Source organism: Homo sapiens, chromosome 3 (assembly GCF_000001405.40).
Source record: "Homo sapiens chromosome 3, GRCh38.p14 Primary Assembly".
Classification (NCBI taxonomy): Eukaryota; Metazoa; Chordata; class Mammalia; order Primates; family Hominidae; genus Homo; species Homo sapiens.
In genome coordinates, this window is record NC_000003.12 from 46,514,554 (window position 1) to 46,535,591 (window position 21,038).

Consider the following 21,038-nt stretch of genomic DNA (forward strand, 5'->3'; position numbering starts at 1 on the left):
CAGAAGCAGGAAGGTATCTCTGACTTTCCTCTCAGCCTTCACCCCTGAAGTAGGCCATAACAGAATTATCTGACCTTCCTCCCTGCAGTCGGTCATAAGACCCCCCCTTCCAGAGGTATCCTGCCTGTATCTGAATTATAGGAACATCCTTATCCTCAAAGACACAGGGACACCAAGAAGAATTGAACTGACAGGCCTTGTTAAGTTTCCCCCAGCGTATTGCTATTAGATCACACCGTGTTGTCCTCCAATCATATTTTTCCACAACTATGCACTTCATTATCAAACCTAGTATTAAAAAATGCACTAGTTGTCCAGGCACAGTGGCTCATGCCTGTAATCCCAGCAATTTGGGAGGCCAAAGCGGGAGGATCACTTGAGGTCAGGAGTTCAAGACCAGCCTGGCCAACATGGTGAAACCCCATCTCTACTAAAAATACAAAAATTAGCTGGGCGTGGTGGCGCACACCTGTAATCCCAGTTACTCAGGAGGCTGAGGTGGAAGAATCGCTTCAGCCCGAGAGGTGGAGGTTACAGTGAGCCAAGATTATACCACCACACTCCAGCCTGGGTAACAGAGCGAGACTCTGTCTCAAAAAAAAAAAAAACACAAATTTACCTGTTTCTTTGGGCCTTCATTTTTGAAGGCTCCCATATTGCATAAAACTTATATTAAATATATTTGTATGCTATTTTCACTTCTTAATCCATCTTTTGTTACAGGAGTCTCAGCCATGAACCTAGCAACAGACGAGCAAAAAAAATCTTTTCCCCCCTACACTTCCAACATACAAAAAATAGGTTTAATAAAAAGCTTTTAGAACCAGAACATTTTTCTTCTAAGAATATTTTATTCTTTCATTCATATTACTTTAATATTCATACATGTATTCTGCCATGTAAATAACCTTTCCAAATTATGTATCAGTCTATTTGCATCATGTCAAATTTTCAAATCTCCATATTTTCACAAGATATATATTCTCCTTTGGAATCTTTCTGCACATTTATATGAATAAATTAAATAGTATCTCTACAAACATATTCAAGTAATTATTTGTTTTGGGTTATTATGTAACATGAAATAATTATATATCAATGCAGTATTTTTTTCATATGTGACAGTGAAACAAGGTTTTTAAACAAAAAACTGATTTTATTAAAATAAAATTTACATAAATTATGAACAGTCTATTTGTATGAAAGCCCCTCTTCAGATATATTTTCCACTTGGCCATATGTAACACATACCTTAGCATGACATAAAATTCCAAAATCATTCAAGTAGTAGAGCTAATAAATTTGAATTGTATTTTTAGTGTTAAAAAGAAAAAAATGTAACTATTTAAGATTCAACGAAGGTGATTTCTCATTTTCCTACTCTTTTCATCTCTCTCTCTTTTTTTTTTTTTTTTTTTTTTTTTGAGATGGAGTCTCACTCTGTTGCCCAGGCTGGAGTGCAATGGTGGGATCTCAGCTTACTGCAACCTCTGCTTCCTGGGTTCAAGCAATTCTCCTGCCTCAGCCTCCTGAGTAGCTGGGATTACGGGTGCCCACCACGCCCGGCTAATTTTTTGCATTTTTAATAGAGACAGGGTTTCACTATGTTGTTTAGGCTGGTCTCGAACTCCTGACCTCATGATTCACCCATCTCGGCCTCCCAAAGTGCTGGGATTATAGGCGTGAGTCACCGCGCCCGGCCCTCTTGTCTTCTCTTAGCCTACTTCTCAGAGTTTGTTTCTAAGTGGAAGCAGTCCTCCACCAAAGCACTACCATGTGGTTTTAGAATGCTCTGCCTGTTTTACACCTGTTGAGAATAAAATGTTTGGACTTATGAGTAAGCCCACCAAGACAAAATATTGGGATGTCAATAATAACCTTTTTAAAAATGGCTGGTTCTTCAGACAGAGAAAATAAAAATCACCATACATTTCTACCCCAGATTAACTTCCAAAAAAACAAATAACTAGCTAGACCTGTTCAGGAGTATGGTAGCCACATGTGTGTGGGGTCCCCTAGTTTTCCTCATTTTTGTCTCTGTCCTGACCAAGTAACACATGGTGCCTTGACCCAGCCAGCTGATGTTTTCCTCTGCAGGTCTGAACCCCAGCCTGGGCCTTGAACATTCCTAGGCACTGATAACGGTGCTTAGGTTGTTGCTGGAAACACTGAAAGATCAGCCGTGTTGCTAAACATGTAGAAGCCAGCCCAGCCCCCACCCAAATTCCTTACATCTTCATGTGAACTCCATCCCCCAACCCCCTCGCTGGGGACATGCCCAGGTAGAACATCCCTTGTCTCACTGCCCATCACAAGGACGCTGCAGCCCATGCTGTATGTAAGCTCCCCTCATAAATGCTTTGGACTGATCACCCTGCCATTTAGTGCTTCTTCCTTTAGAATCGCAACTGGCCCCACCTTGGAACGGTTTGGAGCACTCTCTCATGGGAATTTTCCATCAGGTCAAACCCAAGGCTGGAGTTAAATGTGGCTATTTAAATTTAATTGAATTGAAAGATGGGTTCTTCAATCACATCAGTCATTGTTCAAGTGCTCAAGAATCACATGTGTCTGGTTTACCACGTTGGACAACGCAAATACAGAACATTTCCGTCACTGCAGAAAGCTCCACTGGATGGTACTGGGCAAGACCACAGAGGAGATGATTCATATAAAAATATGCCACTATATGCATATTTTCCTTCTTAGTCACAAAAGCTGCTTGTTTTTGTTTTTTTTTTTTTAGTTATAACAATAATAATATTGTTATTGCTGTTTGTTTTGCTTTTGAGACAGGGTCTCACTCTGTCACCCAGGCTGGAGGGCAGTGTCACAATCACAGCACACTGCAGCCTCGACCTCCTGGGCTCAAGTGATTTTCCCACCTCAGCCTCCTGAGTAGCTGGGACCACAGGCACATGCCACCACACCTGGCTAATTTTTTGAATTTTTTTGTGGAGATGGGGTTTCGTCATGATGTCCAAGCTGTTCTCAAAATCCTGTTCTCAAATTCCTGGGCTCAAACAACCTGCTTGCCTCAGCCTCCCATAGTGCTGGGATTATAGGTGTGAGCCACCGTGCCCGGCCAAAGTTATTTGTTTAAGCTTATTTATCTTCAACACCATCAGCCACAACCTGTTTATTTTAGCCCAAGACAGTGGTATAAAAATAAGAGATTGTGTCTAATTTCTCCAAATCATGTGATGTGACATAAGAGCCCAAAGTCTTGTAATGAATCCCACCTCTCCCAAATTCAAACAGCCCATGGGCTCCCTCTGGACTGAAGCATCTTTGCTATGGGCAGAGTTGTCCTGTGGTACCCACAAGGAAGCCTTGCTAGGAACTCCTTATCAGTGTGGACTGGTCATCTCCATTACCCTACATGGCCATCTTGGAGGAAGGGACCCTGAGGGCGTTGCCTTTGCTCTTTACTGAGGTGTGTCCCAGGACCCCCAGGGTGACCACTCAGGACTGGATGGCCATCCATGAAGGCCACTGAAGACTTCCCATGAACAGCCAGGCCCACACTTCCTCAACTAGATCTACCCACGCACCATCTGAGCATCTCATGCCCAAAGCATGGGCAGATATTCCAGCCTTTGTTTCTTCAAGGCCTAGATTGTACCTACAAGTCTCTCCTGGGAGTCTACACTTGCCAAAATATAACTTAAAACATATGGAAATAGCAGTTTATATAAACTCAAGGAAGATTATTCTCAGTAAAAGAAACTCTTTCAAAATAACAAAACACTCTCATCTGATTAGTCCAATATAAATGCTCTTTTCACAATCCCTTTATCTTTTTCTTTTCTTTTTTTTTTTTTTTGAGACAGAGTCTGGCTCTGTCACCCAGGCTGGAGTGCAGTCGCATGATCTCGGCTCACTGCAACTCCACCTCCCAGGTTCAAGCGATTCTCCTGCCTCAGCCTCCTGAGTAGCTAGGATTACAGGCAACTGCCACCATGCCCAGCTAATTTTTTGTATTTTTAGTAGAGATGGGGTTTCGCCATGCTGGCCAAACCAGCCTCGAACTCCGGACCTCAGGTGATCCACCCACTTCGGCCTCCCAAAGTGCTGGGATTACAGGTGTGAGCCACCACACCCGGCCCCTTTATCTTTTGATTCCTGAAAACAATGCACTTAACTTCAGTATTTGGTCTTTTAGTTATAATTCTTAAAAATAAGACATTTTAAAACATATTAAATGTGCATTATTTGGAAAAAAGTATATGCAAATGAACCTGGAAATATCAATATACAAACCAATTTTTCAATTCTCCAGTCCATGGAGGGAGATACTCATGTATTTGACATTTGAAAACCATTTTTTTTAGCAACTATGATAGTGGTTTCTAGACTTTGTCCTTAAGCACAAGCCATTCTTCCTATATGACATGATCATAACAAAGATTTATATATAGCTCCAGAGAATAGTGAGATTTGCAGTCTTCTGATGGATATCAAAGTTGAAGGCTAAAAGACACTTTGGTGGTATAGCTGGGAACAGATTCTGTAACAGAAAGAAAAAAGTATGCTCAATCATTCACCATTTTATTATGAAATCTAGCTACGTGCTATGACATACATAATGAATGTATGTCAATACACCCATTATTGTCACTTCATGTTTTAAGTATAGAGATACTGTATAGGTGATAAATAATGCATTTGTCACCATTAAGTAAGTCATCACAAATGTGCAGTCAAACTTTAGAAATGTTTAGATCTAAGAATCGTTAACTTTCATTCTTTTGCCATCTTTCCAGCCAACTCACAGCTACATCAAGATCTTGGAAGCTATATGACCCTACAGTATTAATAGTTGACAAAATAGAAATAGATGGTCACGGACTTGGGACTGTGGCTAGTAGGTGGCAGAGGGTACCGTTTATAAGAGAAGTTTGGGCTGTTCCTAAACCATACACCATCTTTGAAAGTAAACCTTCTCTCAGCCTGGCTCTTCCCACTAGTTGCTGACCCCTCTTCTCTCTCCCTTCACAGCCAAAGTTTTGTCAAAGGATGGTCTATACCAATGGCTCTCAAAGTGTACTTCTCAGACACAAGGCATCAACATCACCAGCGAGCTGGTCAGAAGTGTACTTTCTCAGGCCCTGCCCCAGGCCTGATGAGTAAAAACTCTCATTCCTATGTTCACTAAAGCTTGAGGACCAGTGAGGGCTTCACATCCTTATCCTTCTTGAATCACACAAAGTTGTAGGCCCTTGTGGGCAGATTAAATCTACTATTTTTTCACTCAGACATTGGTCTGATGGGGAAAGAAGGAAAACAGGGAAGACACCATGATAAAGAAAAGAAAACGAGCAAATTTTTTAAAATTCAGAGCACATGCCTGACCATATCTAGGTCGAAACATTAAAAAGTGTCATTTCTGTAGGACAAAACCAGCTGAATATTAGCAATATCATGTGTTCAATCTAATACATATGAATATATACAGAATAAAATTATTATTATTTAGAAATAAGTAAACAAATTAAAAATCTATCATCTCTAAAGTTAATTTTTAAAAGCAAATTATTTTAAAACAAATTAATTTATTTAAGTAAATAATAACTAATAATATATTATCGATAAAATTAATATTAAATAATATATTTATTAAATGATATTTTATAATAGATAAATATATTTATTTTATTTAAATTGATTAATTTTAAAAGCAAATTATTATTGCTGGCCACATAGATCCAGAACTTAACACCTATTTTCTTTCTTTCTTGGAGTTTTACATAATAGCACTACAATATAATTACGAATAAATAAATGAATAAAATGGAACACTAAAGGCTCTCACAAGAGGAAAACCATAGAACCCAAAGGTAAATTTTGACAAATAAATGGCTCTGTAATTTCAGTTTCACATTTACGATAAATTTCTAATTTATTTCATATTAGTTCAGAATTCAAAATTAGGGATATCCAAAAAGATTAAAAGTAACCATATAGAAATTTTAGTTTAGCTGAAACAATTTTTAATTTGCCCAATAAATGACACTTTTCATCATTTCTGACTATCTGAATGTGACTAATCGTCTTCAGACATCTACTGATGAGGGAGGGGCATGCTCACGCATGCCATTTTCTGAGGGTGGCTGAGGGAGCCTGCCCACAGATGCTCATCATCAGAGGCCCAGGGCCAGTGCGCTTCCTCCCTAAATCCACTTGTGGGACAACTCTCTTCCTGCCAGGTCTGCACCTAGCTCATCAAAGAACTGAAAAATTAAGGAATGACTCTCAGGCATCCACACCCAGAAAGGAGGCAGTGATTAGAAGACCAAAGACTGATGTATGCCTTTTTCCTGGGGAAGCTGTCTTGTGATGGAAGGAAGGGCTTAAGGCTTCCAGAACACCATTAGGATCTCTCCACTCCTTTGGAAACAGCCGCCGGAATCTGGCGCTGGGAAAAAGCCTTCCCACCCTTTCCTGAGGTACTTGACCCCCCTCGCCCCTCTGTATTCTCACCACCCTATGGGAACCAAAACTAAATGCATCTATGCGCAAATTGGCCATCCTGTGCTTTCCCTTTTGTGATTTTTATATGTGTTCTTGATTTATGTGAGATAACTTTTTCAAAAGTTGAATGTAAACGGATTTTGAAACGACATCTTATTTTTCTAGTAACTTAGGATACTATTTTGTCAATATCGTTTAGTTAAAAACTCACGTATGGTTAGTAACGCAACCCTAACATTTTAAGTGCACGTTTCCCAGCCTCTCTGTCAAACAGTGGATGATTCATCAAGCATTCAAATGGACTAGCACAATTTGATATTTTAAGGAAATGTATCATTTGGAGTGTGTTGGAGGGTAAATGGAAAAATAATTTACGAAGTAACGTGCCCCTCAACCAATAAACTTTTTGTCAATTTGACTTCTATTAACAAATGTATTACATAAGTGGACGTCTGTACACTAATTTTAAATAATTTTAAATATGAGTAACCCACCTCTTTCTTTAAGGTCTTCAATATAGGCTTTCATAACTTCTTTATCAAAATGTTGGCGATCCCGTTCACTTTCCATTATTTCATTGCCATCTTCACATTGGGCATTATCAATAGGATTGTCCATAAGGCTTACAAATCTATTCGAGAAAGCATGGGAAGTATCACATTATCACCTGTGCGTTTTAAACTGCAAAATTCCTCACATAAAATAACCTCTGTTATCCCAAGTTCTGGCTTACCTTTAAAAGTCACATTTGACCACATGATATCAGCATCACCAGTGGAATTCCAGTGTGGAATAATCCAACAGTAATATAGAGCCAGTTTTAAAGTATAGACTTTTCAGAGGCCTGATGGGGAAATGAGAGCTCCCTAGTCATAGGCAGAGAGTACAGGAGGCCATGGAGTGGACACTAACACCTCCTCTCAGGCAGATCCTCACAGCTGCATGTCGTCATGCAATGTTTGATGTTACTCCCAGTAAGGGACATCCAACTTTAAAATGACGTGTCCAAATTACAAAGGACTCAAGGAAAATCCCCACAAAATGTGTATTTAAAAGATAGGACATGGCTGGGCACAGTGGCTCACTCCTGTAATCCCAGCACTTTGGGAGGCTGAGGCGGGTGGATCACCTGAGGTCAGGAGTTCAAGACCAGCCTAAACAACATGGTGAAACCCTGTCTCTACTAAAAATACAAAAATTAGCTGGGTGTGGTGGCAGGCGCCTATAATCCCAGCTACTCAGGAGGCTGAGGCAGGAGAATTGCTTGAACCCAGGAGGCAGAGGTTGCAGTGAGCTGAAATCCCGCCATGGCACTCTAGTCTGGGCAACAGAGCGAGACTCAATCTCAAAAATAAATAAATAAATAAATAAATAAATAAATAAATAAATAAACAAACGATAGGACAGGAACAGAGGCTCATGCCTATAATCTCAGCATTTTAGGAAGCCAAGGCAGGAGGATATGCTTGAGGCCAGGAGTTGGAGACCAGCCTGGGCAACATAGAGAGACTCCATCTCTACAAGAAATATAAAAGATTAGCTGAGTGTGGTGGCACATGCCTGTAATCCCAGCTACTCGGCAGGCTGAGGCAAGAAGATGGTTTAGTCCCAGGAAGTCAAGGCTCCAGTGAGCTATGACGACACTACTGCACTCTAGCCTGGGCAATAGAATGAGAGAGATCCCATCTCTGAAAATATAAGAATAAAATTAAATAAAAGATGAACTACTGCTAACACACACACACACACACACACACACACACACACACACACACACACACAAGCTAAAGGGGGGAAACCCAAATGGTATTTGATCTTCTGTCTTCACAATTTTCAAAGATGTATTGATGTGAAAAATATTGTAATTATTTCAATTCAAAACAGTAAATCTCTTAAATAGTTTTTGGTTGCAATTGCAGGCCCTGCTGTCTTGAGATGTTAGCGTGTTCTCATTGGATTATAGATGAGAGCTGTATATATGGAAGATATGAGCCACGAGTGTTGTTTTATTATATATATATATTTCCCACTTCATTTTCCTTTTAATTTTATTTAATGTCTGAACATGGAGAGAGTTTAAAAGTTGTAATGTTTAATGTAGATAGAACCATTCAACTTTTCCTTTATAATTTTTTCATTGAGTTAATGTTTATCATCCTTCCCTATTCAAAAATAAGAAATATACCTACATTTTATCATTCTTAACATTTTTAATCAAGTAATCATTGTACACATTTTTAAACCTGCAGAATGTAATCGTGCTTCTTTGTGAAGCAATAGTCTCTCACCCTCCCTTTAATTACTCTTCAGATCCCAGAAGCAATCTTTTTTCATTGGTCTATCACTGTTTTTCCTTAATCTATTTAAAATACCTTTTACCTTAGGACAAATACTTTCCTGTCATTCAATCAAGTGGTGGTATTTCTCCCCTTCTTTCCAGTTTCCCAACCTTCCCACTTCCAAATTTTTACCTACTATTTTACTTTTTAAACATTTTATTATGAAAATTCTTAAATATTCACAAAAGTAGAAAAAAGTTCATAGTGAACACCCATGTACAATCCCCTAGATTCCATGTTTAACATTTTGCTATACTTGCTTTAACACATATCCACTCATCTGTCCACACACCTATCTGCCCAACTATCCACCCATCTATCCACCCATCCATCCACCCATCCATCTACCCATCCATCTACCCATCTATCCATCCATCTATCCATCCATCTATCCACCCATTTATCCACCCATTTATCCAACCATCCATCCACCCATCTGTCCACCCATCTATCCACCCATCTACCCACCCATCTGTTCACACATCTATCCACCCATCTAACCACACGTCGGACATCTCATTTTTTTTGATGTATCTCAAAGCACAATCACAGACATTGTGTACTTTTACTTTGTTAAGGTTAATACTATACACATTCTGATGTGTAATCACATCTCACTTTTCTTTTGCCTGCAGCTTGATTCTAAAATTGAAAATCAATAAATAATATTTACATTTTTGTGTAATCACATCTCACTTTTCTTTTGCCTGCAGTTTGATTCTAAAATTGAAAATCAATAAATAATATTTACGTTTTTGTGACAACCATCTGGTAAGGCTTGGTAATGCCTTCATATCTGAGAATGAGACAGCAGAATTTGGCTGGTCCCCTGAGTATGTAGGCAGTGCTGGCCAAGGTACCGGCCTCACTGTGGGTGATCACTCAAGCACAGGGCTAGCAGGTCCTCAGGGCAGTCGCCAAACACAGAACTCTGGGGTCTTTTCTCCAGGCTACCTTAGAGAAAATCTCAGGCTTTTGGTCTGGAGCCTGGACTGCTGGTACAGAGTGGTCTGCCCATTGTAATTAAGGAGGAGGTTGGGGGGTGCCTGTTGATATAAAAATTCTTCCGTTTTTCCTCTTGTTTTAAGCACCATATTTCTGTCTACACCTCCCTGTACCGAAATTTCTGGCCACCAACATCTTCAGGACAGAGCGGTGCGCTCCTCGGCTTGTTCTCTGGGATTTGGTTTGTTCCACCTTACTTTCATCAATGACTGCTATTCTGTCTACTTGATGTATCTCATAAAAATGTTGAGATTTCTCATATTTTAAATTTTTTCTTTCATTTTAATAGGCTGTTATAAAGGATAAGTGTATAAGTGTTAAAAGGGATCAAGCCATCATGATTAACATGGCATTTCTTATTCTTTTAATAACTTTCTTTTTATATTTAACTTGTCTCTTGGTCTAGTTTTCTTTCTATATGCTATGTATACCATATATTTGTGATATTAACTATATATGGCATATATAGCGATGTAGTACTCCAAGATTTCTTATGCTATAAAGTGAAGAACAGGCTTTATCACTAGCCAGTTTCTTCATACCATATGAAGTCATTCATACTTTCCCCAGTTGCTTATGAAAATTCCTATATCATGTATTAGCATTGATTTCAGGACTACCTATTCTCTTCCAATAACTCACCTATAAATCATTGCCCAGCATTGCATCATTTTGAGGTCACCCCTTCTAAATGTACTGTAATTCTTTTTTTTTCTTTTTTTTTTTTTTTTTTTAGATAGAGTCTTGCTCTATCATCCAGGCTGCAGTGCAGTGGTACACAATCATGGCTCACTGCAGCCTCGACCTCCCAAGCTCAAGCGACCCTTGCACCTCAGCCACCCAGGTAGCTGGGACTACAGGCACATGCCACCATGCCAGGCCTTTTTTTCTTTTTTTTAGACAGGGTCTTGCTGTGTTGCTCAGGTTGGAATGCAGCAGTGAAATCATGACTCACTGTAACATCGAACTCCTGGGCTCAAGCAATCCTCCTGCCTCAGCCTCCCAAGTACCTAGGACTACAGGGGCATATCACCATGCCTGGCTAATTTCTTAATTTTTTGTAGAGACAGTATCTCGCTATGTTACCCACACCGATCTCGAACTCCTGAGCTAAAGCAATCCTCCTGCCTCACCCTCACAAAGGGTTAGGTTACAGGCATGAGCCACTGTGCCTGGCCACACTATAATCCTTGATAAGGCAAGTTCTGTCACACTACTCTTGTTTTCTAAAATTATTATTACTGTCCTTAGCTTTGTCCTTCCACATATACTGTCAAATGCATTTTTCAAGCTCCAAAAAAGAAATTCCATTAGAGTTATGATTGGAATTATATTACACTTAAGTATAATTTTTGGAAGAAATCACATCTTTACCGCCTTTTCACCCAGAAAAGATACATTATACCTTTTTCAAATATTCAAGACTTCTTTATTATTTTTTGGGAAGACTGTTTAATACTATTCATGTAAGAGGACTATTTTCACTAGAGGTTTTCCTAGATATTTTAGATTTTTGGTTATTATTATTAATGTCATCATTTCTTCCACTATTTTTCTACAGGTTATTTCCTTTTTTTCTTGTTTCTTTTTTTTTCTTTTTTTGATGGAGTCTAGCTCTGTCGCCAGGCTGTAGTGCAGTGGCGCAACCTCGGCTTATTGCAAATTCCGCCTCCCGGTTTCAAGCGATTCTCCTGCCTCAGCCTCCTGAGTAGCGGGGATTACAGGTGCCCGTCACTGTGCCCAGTTAATTTTTTGTATTTTTAGTAGAGACGGGGTTTCACCTTGTTGGCCAGGCTGGTCTTGAACTTCTACAGGTTATTTCTAAGAATCAGTAAGCTATTAAATATTTATGCAAACCTGTATCTATTCTTTTTATTGAAATTTCAATAATTCAAAGAGCTTCCATCTGACTCTCTTAGATTTCTGAGTCCTACAATTATATCATTTGAAATTACTTTAGTTAGGTGACAGGTTTACCCTGACTGCTATGAGACATGAAGCTGCCAAGCCTGCTTCCAGGGGCTGGATGTGGAAGGGGCTCTAGGGAGGAGTCCTGCTACCCCTCTCACCAGTGGTCCTCTTCTTATTCAAACAATATTCCACACACAGCCAAGCACAGTGGAAGACCTATTCTAGTGGAAGGAGCAGAGTAGGGCATGCGTGAGATGTCTTACACCCTGTTTATTTTGTGCTTATACAGATATGGAGTTGTTCTCTTTCTTTCCAGCAGTCAAACCTCTTTATTTGTTTGCCATGCATTTATTGCAAGGACAGGAAGACAAGATTGAACTCTGCTGATAGTAAGCACTTACCACTGAAGAACTAGGAGTCCTGGGGAAATATTCTCGCTAGTGGTTGCGTTAACAGCCACCTGGTGCTCAAGGCCAATAGGTCTCTGGACAGAGAGAAGGTGGCTCTTAATAGAGCAGCCTCGTGTGAATAATGTGGGGAGGGCCCAAACCGCTAGGGATGGACAAAAATGGTCTCAGGTAGAATTAATGGGGCAACCCCAAAGCTCCAGATTCTGGGAGGATGTGCTGCCAGGGAGCCATCAGCTGCCTTGGAGTCATTTCAGGGGAGGGCGGAGCCAGGACTTTTCAATTCCACTTCCACATCCCCAGATTGGAGGCTGTTTGGAGTACATTTGCATGGATGGTTTTTCTTAGTTGTGGGTGGTTTATAGGTTCACTTAAGGAAACCTAAAGAAGGGTGAAGCAACCAGGGAGGGTCCTTTCAACATCTGCTGACCCCTCCAGGCCAGCAGCGATGTGAGCACTGAGCAAGAGATCACAGGCCCTGGACATATGTCCCGCAACACCATCAACCAGCATGCATTTGTGCAGAAATCCTCTGAACCCTATGCCTCTTCCTCGTGTCATATGCCACAAACTCCAAAATCCTGTAAAAAGTCACCAGAACTTCTGTGAGTTGGGATCAGGTTCTCAGAGTACGAGAGCCATCTAATCCGGGTCTTGAGACAGCTGCCCAGGCTCTGGTACTTCTCACTCCTTACCTGTGTCTGAGTGTGTCTACTGGGATTTCCGGGCTACTCACTTTAAAGGTGTGGATGAGTCACAAAGGGCAGTTGGGAGCTCCACCAAATGGTCCCCACTGACGACTAACAGAGTGAGCTTCTTCAGGTTCAGCATGGAATAGGGAAGGTAGGTCAACTTGTTTTTATACAAGAGAAAGCTCTGCAGCTCCTCTAGCCTAAGAAGAGGTAAAAACAATCATAGCACTGGACTTAGCATCATAGCTAAGAAAACCAACATGAATTACAAATAAATTCTAACAGGAAGTCCCTACTTTATTTTATACATGTGACCTTTATGAGAACCAACTTATTCTAAGTTTTGTTCTTCGTTTTTTTTTTTGAGACAAGGTGTTATTATGTTGCCCAGGTTGGAGTGCAGTGGTACAATCTCGGCTCACTGCAGCCTCAACTTCCTGGGCTCAAATGATCCTCCCACCTCAGACTCCTTCCTGAGTAACTAGGACTACAGGCACACGCCATCATGCCCGGCTAATTATTTTTTGTAGAGACAGAGGGTCTTGCCATAGTGCCCAGGCTGGTCTTGAACTCCTGGGCTCAAGCAGTCTGCCCACCTCAGCCTCCCAAAGTGTTGAGATTACAGGCATAAGCCACTATGCTCTGCCTAAGTTTTAAGTAACTAAAGTCATGCCAGGTGACGTGATTTTTTGGAAGTTTTTACTGACTTAATCACCAGTTGAAGACACAGCTATAGCAGCGGGATAAGCATACTGCACAATACACACTAGGCCATGATGGAGCCTCAAACATCAGTATGTCCCTTCCGAGAGTCTACTGCATTTACAAGGGTTAACAGAGCATGGGAAGGCAATCATACTAGAATTGAAATGAGAATAAACAGATTTTAGCAATGTACTTCCTTTGGTACACTTTTTTTTTTTTTTAATGAGAAAGACGGGGTCTCACTATGTGGCCTAGCCTTGTCTTGAACTCCTAGCTTTAAGCAATCCTCCTTCCTTGGCCTCCCAAAGTGCTAGTATTACAGGCAAGAGCCACTGTGCCCAGCCTCCTCTTGTATATCTTTAAACCCCAGTTATTATCCTTCTCTCATTACGTCTTCCAACTTTAAAACAGGAAGGCAACTGCGGAGTGAAAAGTAAATGAGCAAAATATGTTCCAAATATGTCTTATTCTGTTTTCCATTTTATTCTAACTCAGTGGCCTCCCCCTGGGAATTTTTCTTTCATTTATTTCCAAAACTTTGGATTATCATACAAATATTTCATAAAGTTCCCATGTTGCAAACTAAAAGATTCCCTCTTAGCCTCAAAAGCCTAGAAAGCATCAATACACATCACATGTACCAGGAATAAAAAAAAGTCATACAAGATGGCATTCAGGCCTAAGCCATTGCTGGCCTCTGTGTCATCATAGCTTGCTTGTGTTTCTTTATAAAAAAGATTGTAGGCCAGGCACGGTGGCTCATGCCTGAAATCCCAGCACTTTGGGAGGCTGAGGCAGGAGGATTGCTTGAGTCCAGGAATTCAAGACCAGCCTGGGTAATATAGCAAGACCTTGTCTCTACAAATAATTATTTTAAAAAAGTAGCCAGGCATGATGGCACACATCTGTGGCCCCAGCTACCTGGGAGGCTGAGGTGAGGGAATTGCTTAAGCCCAAGCAGTCAAGGCTGCAGTGAGCCATGACTGCACTACTGCACTCCAGCCTGGGCAGCTAACGGGACTCTGTCTCAAAAAAAAAAAAAAATTGTAGATTCCAGGATGCCAGAGATTGTGTTTCATTTACCACTTTAAACCCATCCCGTTCTCTAGGCTTGCCATACAGGAGTCTAATAATATAAGTGAATGACTGAAACTTACATGATAATTCTTATTTTAAAAAACATGAAATAGCTGCAAGAATATAATTTGGGCCAGGCACAGTGGCTCATGCCTGTAATCCCAGAACTTTGAGAGGCCAAGGCAGAAGGATTGCTTGTGCCCAGGAGTTTGAGACCAGCCTGGGAAACAAAGCAAGACCCTGTCTGAACAAAAAATAAAAATTTAAAAATATGTACATTTTTAATTTGAAAGAATATAATTTGAAAACCTGGCTAAGCATATCAATTTTGTTTGAAAGTTTATGTATAACGAATCAATAAATGAAACTAATAAAATTTGTCCTCATTGATATTCTAAACATACAGTGATATGTTTCTATTCTATACTTAATAAATTAACTTTTCCACTTCTGTAGAGTGAAGGAAAGTTAATGGTGCCATTCTACGGAGACTAAAGCAAATTAAAGTTCATCAGGACAATGAAGAGGTGTTCAAATGCACGTAAACACATACATGTATGATGCAGACTGGAAATTGTCTTATTCTATAATTTCCTCGGAAACTGATTTCCTGGAAAGGAAACTCTGGAAAATTAGTTGATTCCAAAGAACATTCATGTACTATACATGTTTCAAATGTTAACAGTGTTTGAAGCGTTAGTAACTAATACATACACCTCACCTTAGAATGCAAGTAGCTACCTGTCTATATCTTGCGGCAGGTCGGTCAGGTTATTGCTGCTGATATCCAACCACTGCAAATTCGACATCCGCAGGACACAGATTGGGACACTGGAAAACTTGTTTGCTGAGATATCTACAAATGTAACTTGCTTCAAATTACTTAACTAGAAATGAATAACAAAATGTTCTAATTACTTTTATAAGAGTGGGAATTAAGTTCAACTAATAATTTTAAGATGGATATTTCTTCCCCAAAGGCATTTCTATGAATATATGCAAAGCAGATCAATACAGTATGTATTTTGAAGCACCTCAGATGTGTCATTCACTGTGCACACGTAGAGAAGTTAAGATAAATAATACACTGCGGCTGCCTTCCAGGATTTTATATTGCTATAAATTATCAGTGCAAGCTGGGCGTGGTTGCTCATGCCTGTAATTCTAGCACTTTGGGAGGCTGAGGTGGACAGATTGCTTGAGCCCAGAAGTTCAAGACCAGCCTGGACACCATGGCAAAACCCCGTCTCTACTAAAAATACAAAAATTAACCAGATGTGCTGGTGCACACCTGTAATCCCAACTACTTGGGAGGCTGAGGCAGGAGAATTACTTGAACCCGGATAGCGGAGGTTGCAGTGAGCTGAGATTATGCCACTGCACACAAAAAAAAGACATAACCAATACTGGGTAATTTATAAAGAAAAGAGGTTTAATGGATTCATAGGTCCACATTGCTGGGGAGGAATCACAATCATGGTGGAAGGCAAAGGAGAAGCGAAGGCACGTCTTACATGGCAGCAGGCAAAAAGAGAGCTTATGCAGAGGAACTCCCATTTATAAAACCACCAGATCTCATGAGATTTATTCTCACGAGAACAGCACAAGAAAGACCTGCTCCCATGATTCAATTACCTCCCACCAGGTCCCTCCCACAACGTGTGGGAATTATGGGAGCTGCAATTCAAGATGAGATTTGGGTGGGGACGCAGCCAAACCATATCACCATATCATCATGTAAAACATAACTATAAGAGAGTTAGAGTGACTATATTAATATCAGACAAATTATATTTAAGAAATAATATCGTTAAGGATAAAGAAGGACATTTCATAATAATAAAAGGGTCAATAGCAGGAGCCCCCCTGACGTATGTCAGGAAGATACAAGAATCATAAATGTATATGCAACTAACAACGTAAAATATATGAAGTAAAAACTGATGGAATTAAAAGGACAAAGAGACAATTCAACAATTATAGTTAGATTTTTTTTTTTTTTTTTGAGATGGCGTTTCACTCTGTCACACAGGCTGGAGTGCAGTGGAGAGATCTCAGCCTCCACCTCCCATGTTGCCTAGTCCTGGGAGTGGGAATGGGGATTCATATCAAAGGAGCAAGAGAGAATTGGGGGTAGTGGGTGGGGGAGGAGTGATGGAAAAGGCCTAAATTTGAATCTGTACACTTGTAATGGGTGAGTCATATGGTATGTAGATTACACTTTAATAAAGGAGGAAAAGGTAGAAGAAGGGGCAGAGAAGCAAACAGGGAGGCTGTTGCCCCATTCCAGATGACAGACAACACTGTCTTGACCAGGGTGGCAGTGGGAAGGTGATGAGAACGGTTAGACAGAATATATTCTGGAGGGCATGCTCAACAGGATTTATTTATGGATTGGATATGGCACATGGGAGAAGAGAGGATGACTTAATTTACTTCCAGCCTTAACATCTGTGTGAAGATTGAGCCATTGCCTGAACTGGAAAAGACTGGGAGATGAGTGGATCTGTGCGGGGAACCATGACCCCTGGCTGTGCACCCTCACCAGGACCCCTGCTGTGCATCTCCTAGGGTGGAATGGGTGCTAACAGCTTAGAAGCAGCCACTTCCTCCTACCCTGCAGCATTCAGGAAAGGAAAATAATGCCCCTTCTAGGATGGCAATCGGTGTCCAGTGCCTTGTCACCAGCAATCACCATTTTTAGCCCATTCATTACCAGTAGGATTGTGAGATCCTTCTCTCGCTCCAGCATGAGATGCTTATTGAGTTTAATTTGGCATTAAAAATTGTTCACTTTTATGTGCTCCACTTTATCAGAAAATGATTTAAAATCATTTGTCCATGAATACAGACCAAAAGAAACTAATGAATATTTTTAAATTAGTGGATTTCTTAAATCCTATCTGTAGGACTACTTTAATCATCTACAAGTTTTGCTATGAGTATATAAAAAATTTTACCCCTTTTATTTTCAATTTTACCATTGTGGATAAATAAATCAGGATCTGCATTAGAGACAACAGGCATCTTATAATACAAGCATCAACAAGCAAAGCATTAAATAAAAATTTCTTGTGTGAAATTTTGCCTGGTTTTCCTTTGATAGCATTTCTGAACTTAAATTCGGGTTCTGACATAGTATAAAATGTTTTTAAAGAAGGGCAGGTGCGGTGGCTCACACCTGTAATCCCAGGACTCTGGGAGGCCAAGGCAGGTGGATCACCTGAAGTCAGGAGTTAGAGACCAGCCTGGCCAACATAGTGAAACCCCACCTCTACTAAAAATACAAAAATTAGCCAGACGTGGTGGTGTGCACCTGCAGAACCAGCTACTCAGGAGGCTGAGGCAGGAGAATTGCTTGAACCCAGGAGGCAAAACCTGCAGTGAGCTGAGATCACACCACTGCACTGCAGCCTGGGTGACAGAGCAAGACTCCACCTCAAAAAAAAAGAAGTTTTTAAAGACCAGTATACGGTGATTGAAATGTCAGGAAAAGGTGATATAATAAAGATAGATTTCATATGTTAAAACTTCTTGCCATATTATAGACCATTCTATGTCATAAACCAAATAAAAGTGAATCGTAGTACAGAAATGTTTATCTCTTACTTCAAAGGGCAGCTCCATTAATTCTAGATTTCCAGAACAATCCAGTCTCTCTAGATTTTCACAATCTCCCAATTCTGGAGGAATGCTCTTCAGATAGTTGAAACCCACATTGAGTTCTTTCAGGTTCTTCAAACAACCTGTCAGCAGAAAAAGTTAACATCCATTGAATAGGTCGTTTAAGGTCTTTTAAGAACAAAAAGCAAAACTAAGAAGTAAACAGCTCTGTAAATAATGATGGGGAAGGAACTAAACATAATTTAGTATTTGGGTTTTGGGGGGTGTATCTAATGAACATTATCTTGTAGCATCATGACCCCGAGGTTCTGGAAATCACAGAGTTTTTCAGTGTGATAAGCGTCCAACATTACAGAATCTGAAACAAAACTTTTAAGGCTCATGCCTTCAGTGTGTCATATTTTTAAATAACTGATTTGTCTATTCTTTCTTGAAATGCCCAGGGATCTTTTCCAACTGAAATGAAGCTGCCTACCTACTCCCTGTTCTCCCAAAGCCCTCAGACCTAATTTCCAGTAAGGGGAAGATAATTGCAACTGGAGCACAGTGTCTATAGCGGCTCCTGGTTTCTAGAGCCCAAGGAGCAGCTTAAGGAATTACCATATCTTACAATATTTGAGTAAAAATGTTTAAATACAGATTCTCCCTAACTTACGATGGAATTACACCTCAATAAGCCCATCATAAGTTGAAAATATCATAAGTCAAAAATGCATTTAATACACCTAACCTATCAAACATTGTAGCTTCACCTAGCCTACCTTAAATGTGCTGAGAACACTTACATTAGCCTACAGTTGGGCAAAATCATCCAACATAAAGCCTGTTTTATAATAAAGTGTTGAATGTCTCCTGTAATAAATAGACTACTGCACTGAAAATGAAAAGCAGAATGTTTGTATAGGTATTCACAGTTTCCTTCCTTCCTTCCTTCCTTCCTTCCTTCCTTCCTTCCTTCCTTCTTCCTTCCCTCCCTCCCTCCCTCTCTTTTCTTTCTTTCTTTCTTTCTTTGTTTCTTTCTTTCTTTCTTTTTCTTTCTCTCTCTGCCTGTCTTTCTTTCTTTCTTCTTTCTTTCTCTTTCTTTCCCTTCCTTTCTTCCTTCCTTCCTTTCTTTTCTTTTTTTTTTAATTTTTTTTGTTTTACTTTTAGTTCTGGGATACATGTGCAGAACATGCAGGTTTCTTATATCGGTATACGTGTGCCATGGTGGTTTGCTGCACCTATCAACACATCATCTAGGTTTTAAGCCCCACATGCATTAGGTATTTATCCTAATGTTCTCCCTCCCCTTGCCCCACCAGCCCCCAACAGGCCCAGTGTGTGATGTTCCCTCCCTGTGTCCATGTGTTCTCATTGTTCAACTCCCACTGTGAGTGAGAACATGCGGTGTTTGGTTTTCTGTTCCTTGTGTTAGTTTGGTGAGAATGATGGCTTCCAGCATCATCCATGTCTCTGCAAAGGACACAAACTCCTCCTTTTTATGGCTGCATAGTATTCCATGGTGTATATGTGCCACATTTTCTTTATCCAGTCTATCATTGATGGGCATTTGGGTTGGTTCCAAGTCTTTACTATTGTAAATAGTGCTGCTCTTTTCTTTTTTGTTTTCTTTCTTTTCTTTTCTTTTCCTTCCTTCCTTTCTTTCTTTCTTTCTTTCTTTCTTTCTTTCTTTCTTTCTTTCTTTGTTTCTTTCTTTCTTTCTAGCAGCCGCACCCTTCTAGGAACAAAGTACAGTTTCTACTAAATGCACACCACTTTCACACCATCAAAAAGCTGAAAAACCTTACATCTAACCATTGTAAACTGGGGATCATCTGTAATTCCAATAATTAGCTATTTTAAATCCATATAATGATAATTTCTTGGGAATTTCACAAAGAAGTTAAGAGCACCACTCATTGTCATTCTTAATTCCTTGATGTCAAATGTCAAAAATAACTGCTCTAATAATGAGAAAAAGAATACCCTGTCTAGTAATCACACCTCCCTGACTCCTCCCCTTCATCAGCCCTCAATAGATCTATAAGACAATATGATAAGAGATCAAACCCCACCTCCTTTACAAAATTCAGCTGCTCAACATAAAAGAGCTAAAAATCCTTTGTTCATTCCCACGTTCCTCACTATGCTTGAGCATCAGATCCTGCAGCTGAGTGTTTCTTCATTTATCCCTAGTTTGTAAGGAGCTATATCTGCTCCTCTAGGAGAGAAACATGCCCTGAACTAATATATTTTCATTTCTTTTCATTTTGCCCCACATGTGAAAATTGATTTATTCTAGATGCCCTCAATACTTACGTTTGGTAAAAAAGAGGATTTGCTCAAAATACTCCATGTTAATAACTCAGAGTATCAAGAAGCAAGTACTAGAAGAAAATTAGGGTGACAACCTTACCTAAATCATTCTAAGAACATCTCCCTTTTTATTATTGTGTTCTTTTCTTACGATTTCCTATATAATGATGAAAAATTGTGATACTCACATGTCATAAGAATTTCCAAACTGGAGATATGATATATGTCTCAGCCATGTGAGAAGGGAATCGTCTGTCTTTGCCTAAGTTATGGATGTATTTGGATAAATTATATTCTGTTGATTTGATATAGACTGAAAATTATAAGTTGGATAAAATATATATATGACTTAAATCTGGTATAGAGAGTATTAAAGCCTCTGAGATTTATTGTCCCCCTCCTTCCCATAGTTTAACTCACAAAAAAATTCAACTAGAGAATTTTAGAGGTGGCAGATATTTTAAAGATCATTCTGACCCCTTATCCTACAAATGAGAATACTAAGATTT

General features: G+C 39.8%; 1 protein-coding gene across 1 annotated transcript in view, besides 2 other annotated features; it reads right to left on the reverse strand.

Moving 5' to 3' along the window:
- LRRC2 (leucine rich repeat containing 2) overlaps positions 832-21,038 on the reverse strand; it is a 50,918-nt gene continuing 30,711 nt past the window's right edge. Inside the window, exons 5-9 of the mRNA NM_024512.5 lie at positions 18,220-18,356; positions 15,352-15,497; positions 12,873-13,028; positions 6,969-7,105; positions 832-4,510 (exon numbers count right to left, since the gene is read on the reverse strand). Coding sequence (NP_078788.2) covers positions 4,461-4,510; positions 6,969-7,105; positions 12,873-13,028; positions 15,352-15,497; positions 18,220-18,356 — 626 coding nt within the window. The 3' untranslated portion in view covers positions 832-4,460. The remainder of the gene's footprint in view (positions 4,511-6,968; positions 7,106-12,872; positions 13,029-15,351; positions 15,498-18,219; positions 18,357-21,038) is intronic.
- Positions 2,446-2,740: a silencer, noted in NCBI's record as "tiled region #6156; HepG2 Repressive non-DNase unmatched - State 24:Quies, and K562 Repressive non-DNase unmatched - State 7:EnhWF". NCBI's record gives its function as "represses a minimal TATA promoter and a strong SV40 promoter by Sharpr-MPRA in HepG2 and K562 cells {active_cell/tissue: HepG2 | K562}" and the evidence as "EXISTENCE:reporter gene assay evidence [ECO:0000049][PMID:27701403]".
- Positions 5,956-7,155: an enhancer, noted in NCBI's record as "BRD4-independent group 4 enhancer chr3:46561999-46563198 (GRCh37/hg19 assembly coordinates)". NCBI's record gives its function as "activates an origin of replication core promoter dependent on BRD2, P300/CBP, MED14 and CDK7 cofactors, and independent of BRD4, by STARR-seq in HCT116 cells {active_cell/tissue: HCT116}" and the evidence as "EXISTENCE:reporter gene assay evidence [ECO:0000049][PMID:35650434]".